This window comes from Homo sapiens, chromosome 19 (genome assembly GCF_000001405.40).
Source record: "Homo sapiens chromosome 19, GRCh38.p14 Primary Assembly".
NCBI classification, from domain to species: Eukaryota; Metazoa; Chordata; class Mammalia; order Primates; family Hominidae; genus Homo; species Homo sapiens.
The window spans coordinates 29269920-29277475 of NC_000019.10; the positions used below are offsets into that span (position 1 = coordinate 29269920).

The 7556-nt window shown below is 47.9% G+C and overlaps 2 annotated features.

Moving 5' to 3' along the window:
• Positions 2174-2369: a silencer, noted in NCBI's record as "fragment chr19:29763000-29763195 (GRCh37/hg19 assembly coordinates)". NCBI's record gives its function as "represses an EF-1alpha promoter that drives an FKBP-Casp9 reporter gene in an ReSE screen in HepG2 liver carcinoma cells {active_cell/tissue: HepG2}" and the evidence as "EXISTENCE:reporter gene assay evidence [ECO:0000049][PMID:32094911]".
• Positions 7507-7556: an enhancer, noted in NCBI's record as "active region_14406". NCBI's record gives its function as "activates an Ori minimal core promoter by ATAC-STARR-seq in GM12878 lymphoblastoid cells {active_cell/tissue: GM12878}" and the evidence as "EXISTENCE:reporter gene assay evidence [ECO:0000049][PMID:35858748]".

Consider the following 7556-nt stretch of genomic DNA (forward strand, 5'->3'; position numbering starts at 1 on the left):
CCGCCCCCCCTTCCCCCCCCCCCCCGCTGTGGCTGCCAGCTCTCACACCCGGCATACGCTGGATTCTTATTTTAGCTACTGTGACAATTCTCAAAATAGGCACCAAAGAGGAAAAGGTGAGCCTTCCCCCACAGGTGCTGGAGGGAGGGCCACTGTGGGGCACACAGGCAGCCCCTCCCGACATGGGGTCTTATTGTGTTTCCCTCACACTTGCAACGGGAACAGAGTTTCAAGGCTGAAAGTTTAAAAACTGCTTCAGGACTTCACGAAAACCCTGAATGAAAGTGCTTTAAAAAGTGGCAAAAAAAAGAAAGAAAAAGTAAAAACACCCAGAAAGTGCCAAAGAAAAACTGCAACAAAGTAGAGAAGTTAAAAATACCTTAAAGTAATGGAGAATGAGAGAGTTTAACATTCTCTTAGGAGGAAGATTTAATCCAGCAGCTGACACAAAGTGTTTGCAGTCGTGGCCCGGGAATCACGGGAGTTGAATCGGAGCCCCTGAAGATCACGTTCCCAATGAACAAGTGCAGGAACAGAGGCCACAGCACATACCCAGGGACATCAGAACTTCTCACATACAGGTTGGGTTTGCGTGCATAGAAATTCCTTCCTCTTACTAGGTACAAGCAAACCCTCCTGAAGGAACCAGAGATCCTAGAATTTCTAGGCCATGTGGACATCATCAGGATCCTCGTTGCTGTCTCAGTTGTGCTTACCCTTGGGGGACTTTCCTACTGGCTGAGAGAGCAGAAACAAGACATTAAACCAAGCTGGGGGTGTGCCTTCCAGCTTTGATGCTGAGCCAGAAAGATGGGGGTGGAGACGCCACTTCTGCAGAGCCCAGGGATGCCACTTGAGGATGCTGTATTCGTTTTTTTATTGCTACATGACAGATTGCCACAAATTTAGCATTCAAAATAATATGTTTATTAACTCACATTTTCCATGGTCCAGGAATCCAGGCCCCAGGTTCTGCTCAGGGTCTCACGAGCCTGAAGTTGAGGGGCCCCCGGGCCTGCATTCTCATCTGGAACTTGAGGTCCTCTTTTAAGTTCATTCAGTTTGTTGTGAGAATTCAGTTCCCTGAGGTTGTAGGGCTGAGGCCCCTAGTTGTTTTTTTTTTTGTTTTTTTTTTTTTTTTGCTAGTTGCTTGCTGGGCCCATGCTCAGCTCTTAGGACCACCCTCTGTTCCCTGACTCAGGCTCCTGTCGTTGGTTTACAGTATTGATGTCTGGCCTCTTCCAGCATTGCAGGAACATGCCTCATGCTTTGAATCTCTCTGAATTCCCTGTCTGTGACCTCTAGACCCAGATTTAAAGGGCTCATGTGATTAGGTCAGGCCCACTCTGAGAAGCTCCCTTTTGTTGACTCAACTGATTAGTGACCTTAATCACATCTGTTAGTCATTCAACACAGTGATCATGAGAATGATACCCCACCAAGTTCACATATTCACAGTTCCTGCCACGCTTGAGGGGAGGGAGTCACAGAAGCTGTGCATACCTGGGGCAGGAGTCTTGGGGCCACCCTAGAATTCTGCCACCACAGGCATCCCTGTGGGACCAAGCCACAGCCATCCAGTGGTGCCCTGACCCCTCCATGTCCCTTGGTGACCTCTCACCCGCTGTGCTGTCACTGACAGAATCCCAGAGACACGGGGCTGTGGAAACTTCTTCTAGTCATCTTGTCAGTGACAGGAAGGGTGCTTTGCCTTGCCCTAAGAGTGATGCTTAATGATCTCTCAGTTAACTGGCTTTTCCTCAAGGATCTGAAAGCCAAAGTCCTCCAAGGTTGATCACTGAGCCCCCACAGCCTATTTTATCATCAAGAAGGCATAAGTGTACAGGTTCCAAAGTCAGACAGCTGAGCTGCCTACCAGCTGTGCAGCTTTGGGCAAGTTGCCTGGCTTCTCTGAGGCTCAGTTTTCTCATTATAAAATCGAGACAAGATTGGCCCTACTTCTAGAATCATTGTGAAGATTAGAGTCTATTTAAAACACTTGGCACAGTGTGTGGCACACACAGTAAGCAGCTGGCACTTGTGATATGGTGGCATTATCTCTCATGCTTCTAGAGAGGTTGGGGTGAAGATGTGTGCATGAGTGTGCATATGTGCATGTGGTCATGTAGGTACATGTGCTCGCATGAGCATGTGTGAAAGCATGTGCGACCATGCATGCATGTATCACGTGTGTGTGCATTGTGCCTGCATAAATGTGTGAAAGTTTACATGTACATGTGTGAGTGCAAGCAGGCGGATGCACACAAGGTTCAAATTCAGGAGGTGTGATGCTAGTCACAGCTCAGTTTTCAAGAAGGTGCCTGGCATGGGCAGGAAGGTACCTGGCATTCCACTTTCTGCACCTCAGTTTCTCCATTTGCAAAGCAAAAGATGGACTAGATTTTCTCTAAGTACTCATGCATCTCTAAGGTGGCACCATCCTACATGGAGGCCTTCCAGAACTTTCTTTGGCTCTTATTTGATTTGATCATTTGTTTTTACATACTTTGTATATACATACTGTATCAGTCAGAATTTTCCAGAGAAACAGAATCAAAAGGATGTATAGATAGATAGATAGATAGATAGATAGATAGATAGATAGATATTTAGAAAGCTATTTATCATAAGGTATTGGCTCAAGCAATTATGGAGGCTGAGAAGTACAGACACAGGAGAGCTGATACTACGAATTCCAGTGCAAGTCTGTGCTTGAAGGCAGGAGAAAACCGATGTCCCAGCTTGCAGACAGTCAGGCAAAGAGAAAGAATTTTCTTACTCAGCTTTTTGTTCTACTCAGGCCTTCAACTGATTGGACAAGCTCCACCCACACCAGAGAGGGCCACCTGCTTTCTTCAGTCCACTGATTCAAACGTTAATGACATCTAGAAACACCCTTATGGACACACCCAGAAATAATGTTTAGCCAAGTATCTGGGCACTCCATGGCTCAGTCAAGTTAGCACATAAAATTAGCCATCACAGTTACTTTACGTACATTTGCGTACACCAACGTACAACTTTTAAAGGTTAAAAATGTAGGAAAGATGCACTCGGTCACATTTGTGGAAGCTACGCTTGACAAGATAGCAATGCTTAATGTGGAAGGCCACCATCACACCCTTTGTATCACTCTCCCCCAGGCCTTTTCTCCATTCTCCTGAATTGCACACTTTTCAAGTCTTCTGATCTGAAACATTTCTCCCCAATTGAGGCGATCGGACGTGATCTCAGACCGTAATGTATTGTAGCTTTTAACTGTTGAGCCAGACTTTCTGACTCAGCACATTTTAATCAATTTTCTTTGCTAAGATCAGGGAGATGTCATCTATAATAATCCCATCTGACCTCCCAAAGTCAGGCTGATAAAAATATTAATGTCAGCTTCTTGCAGCCTGGCAGAGAGCAACACCCAGCTTGACAAGCAAACAAATGGCTCAGAGCTGTCTGCAGGACACCGATGAACCCGTATTAATGAATAGCTTCATCAGCAAGCATTGCCCTCCAGGCAGAGCTGCCACAGGCTGGAGACTCATAAGAGGCTCAGCAGCCTTCCTGGCGAGGTCTTATTGCCCATCATTGGGGCCATGGAACGTCAATTAGACATGTCTGCTAAGATGATTCACCCTCCTCCATAATGTGCTCCAGTTGGGCAGCTGGGATCACCCAACATGGCTCTTTACTTCTTTTATTCTCCCTGCCTAGGAACCCTCCCATTGTCACCTGTGTCAGGTATTTCCAGCTGTGACATCAGAGACATTAGGCCCTCTGAGAACACTTAGCAATCCTAAATAGGAATAAAGGATTATTCCCAAGGGTCACAACTTTATGAACCTTGACCTGATTCAGCAAGGAGTATGTTTATTTGATCATCTTGTTTGTTCATGCAGTTTCTCAAGAAACGATTACCAGGTAGGGTTTGAGTGACTCACAATACAAGCAGTTCAGCATCTCCCTAACTCTTGTCCCTCTGTGAATATCTATGCTTCTTGTCTGGACGCTGCAGGTTCTGAGTTTCTCACTCCTGATTTTACTGGGGCCATGGTAGAGCGAGGCAAATGTTAACGTGCTCACATCACAGATGCAATCACTTGTCCAGGCTGTGAGTCGGTGCTGGGGCAGCTGCACTGCTGGCCTCTGGACTCTGACTCCAGTGTTCATTGCATTAGCCCTCTCTCAAGTCCATCTTTCTGTCTCTAGTCTTCAGAGCCTGGGACCTTTCATTGTGAAAGAGGAGAGGACAAGCTTTTCCCATGCGGGTGAGCAGCGAATCCAAGTTGCCTGTCTCCACTCTTCAAAGGCAGGAAATTGTTTCACCATGTTCCACAAAAGGAATATGGTCTGCAAATGGAAGAATCATTTGGGAAAGCAGCTTATGCAGGAGCCCCAGGAGGGTGGCTGCAGTTGATTCAATGGTCTCATGACGGTGTGATGTGTGATGCAGTAGCCTCCTGGCAAAGAAGTGCCCCCAAGCAGACCCGCTGTATCCTTGGACCCTGCAGCAGCCAAACTACAATACATAGCCACAGGCATTGGCTTTGCCCATCCAGTCCCCTCTATACAGCCCATTCATATGACCTGAGCACTAAATAAAGACCTCAGAATGGCAGAGATACAGCCAGGGAGCCGCTGCTTACTAAATTACTAAAATGTAATGCCTCACTGGGTTGGATGCCGGCATTGGCAGGGCTTTTGTTTGTTGGTTTGTCTATTTGTTTAGCAAAATTAGCAAGCAAAATTAAACCCTTGTCACCTTCTTCAGCCGGAATGTGAGCTGGAAGACCATTCTCCAGAGCAGAGCCTTCATTTGCAGGCTTTTCTATAACTGGGGAGCAGTGGAGGGACAGGAGGTGGAAGGGCACTGCTGTAACCACCACAGGGCATCTTACTCAGCCCCAGGAGTGAAAGTGGAAAGAAAAGCACAGGCAGAGAGACCTGCACACTTTCCCTGCTCCCTAGAGGACCCTGCCAATCCCGGGCTGTCTGGGTACTGCCTCCCAGGAGCTCTGTAGGAAACTGGAAAGGGAGTGGTTGGAAACACAGTCTCTGCAGTCGGAGCTGGAACAAGTCACTGAATCCCTCTGTGTCTCCACTTCCTTGTTTTATCTCAAGGATGATAATACTAGCATATATCTCCCAGGGTGGTTGTGAAGGTTCAATAAGGTGCATATGCAATATGCTTAGCACCAAAACTGGCTCGTAATTACATGCACAATAAATGCTAGCTTTCATTAATGCTGTCTGTCACGTGTGAGATAAAGCTACTGGTCCCAGGAGGCCTCTACTCCTGCTAGGATGCAGTTCCCTTGGGCAAATGGTACTCCCAGGGCTGGTGCGCAGCGCCTCTGAGCAGCTGACAGCCAAGATTAGATGAGTTAAGACTGTGTCTCCTACCTCCATTTGCAAAATCCTCTATAAAAAGGTAGAGTAGGTAAGGTGGAAGGAGAGAGTGAGTCACCCTTCCTGGAGCACAAGCCAGCGGCGCCCTGACCCCCACCTGTGCTGTGTCCCATCAAGCTCCCGTAAGAGGCCTGTGTACATCCTGCTGTCTTTCCCCAGCACAGCCTGCTTTGCACCTCCTCCAAGATCCTGCTATATGGAGGTGATTTGGGAGGAAGACAGGACCATGGGTTTCCCTGACCTGCCTATTTCTTTGTCCTAAATAGTGTTACCGAGCCCCAGGTCTTCAGGCATAAAGGGACCTCTCAGGCTGGGACAACACAGTGCATCTTAGAGGGAGCCACCATGAACTCTGGAACCTTGGTGCCACGTGACATCCAAGGACATTTGTGTAACTCAGCAGAGTAAATGAGGACAAGGAGGACTAAATTGCTATCTGAGATCGCCTTTCCCATCAGCAAGATGGTGGAACTGGGGTTCTCAGTGTCCAGTTTAAGTTGATTTAAAGAAACTTGAGAATTGTAATATGTATTGCATGCTGCAATCATGAACTATCGCTCATACCTGCTGCACATCTAGCCCCCCTCCCTTCCTCCGCTGCCACTTTTGGTCCAGCATGAAAAGACCTCCTAGCTGGTCTCCCCACATCCTCTTGTTCTCCTTCTGCCTACTCTGCACATGGCAGCCACAATGACATTTGTAAAATGGATATCTGGTCATGCTTCTCCTTTGCTAAGACCCTAGGAGGACCACCACTGCTGCTCAGCAACCCACCCCCCACTGGCTCTCAGCCACCCACTCCACCCCATCCTCTTTGGCGCCAGGCTCCAGCTGTCTCCATCATTGCCAGCTTTCACTGAGCTCTCACAGTAGGCCTGAAGCTCTTCCACTTATTGTATGACCTCATTTAGTCTCAACTCCTTGGGAGATATCTTCACAGAGGCACAGTGAAGTTAAATTATTTGGCTAGGATTGCCAAGCCAGGGCCCCAAACCTAGTCCCAGCCCATCTCTTCTATCTTAATAAATATCATCAGCTGCCCAGCATGTCATGCCAGATGCCCAGGAGCCACCTTCCATCCTCTTCCTCCATCACCCCCTATATTTACTGCAGCAGCAAGGCCTGTGGATTTTCATTCACCTGCCTCCCGTGCACACATTTGTCCCTTCCACTGCCGTCTCGCTGGTCCAGTCACCACCATCCCTCACTGGAACAACTCCAGCAGCCTCCTCGCTGGATGGCCTGCTCTAATCATGCCCTCTGTTTGTTTCTCTTCCTCTCTCCTTTCCTCCCTCCTTTCCTTCTTTGCTCTCTTCCTCTCTCCTTCCATCCTTTCTCCTTTTTCTTTCCTTTTTTTTTTTTTTTTGACAGAGTCTCACCCAGGCTGGAGTGCAGTGGCATGATCTTGGCTCACTGCAACCTCTGCCTCCTGGCCTCAAGCGATTCTCCTGCCTCAGCCTCCTGAGTAGCTGAGATTACAGGCATGAGTCACCATGCCCGGCTAATTTTTGTATTTTTAGTAGAGACGGGGTTTCACCATGTTGGCCACACTGGTCTCAAATTCCTGACCTCAAATGATCCACCCACCTCTCTTTCCTTTTATTTTATTTTATATTTTATTTTGCTTTCCTTTTATTTTGAAATGTAGGTTTTCTTTCTATTGAGGTATGATGGATTGAGCAGAGCAGGAGACACTTGCTATTAAAGAGAGAGCTTGTTACGCACAGTTCCCAAGAGGAGGAGACACCATGCCATGAGGGGGCCACAGGGGGAAGAGGGAGGGAGGGGAAAGGGTGGACAAGAGCCTTTATGTGATTTCCATGGGAAGAAACAGACGAGGCAAACATGTAGGCTTAGGATCCACTAGTTTGTCCAATTTCAGCAGCCCCAGCATGCAGAGGCTGTCACTAGTTGTCTGATACCTGGCCCCGGGGTGATTAGGGCAAGGCCTGGCGTGATTGGTGGCTAAAAGTGAAAGAACCTACGAGAGCCCAGGAAAGGAAGTGGTCGGGGTGTGGGCTCTGGATTGATTGGTTTGTCGACCAAAGGGGAACTCGCAGGGGAGTTGCTTATTTTCTCTAGGAACTGCCTGTCCCTGGGAGGGGCAGTCCCTCCAGGGTGAAGTCCCCAGCATCTCAAAACATCAGAAATACAGA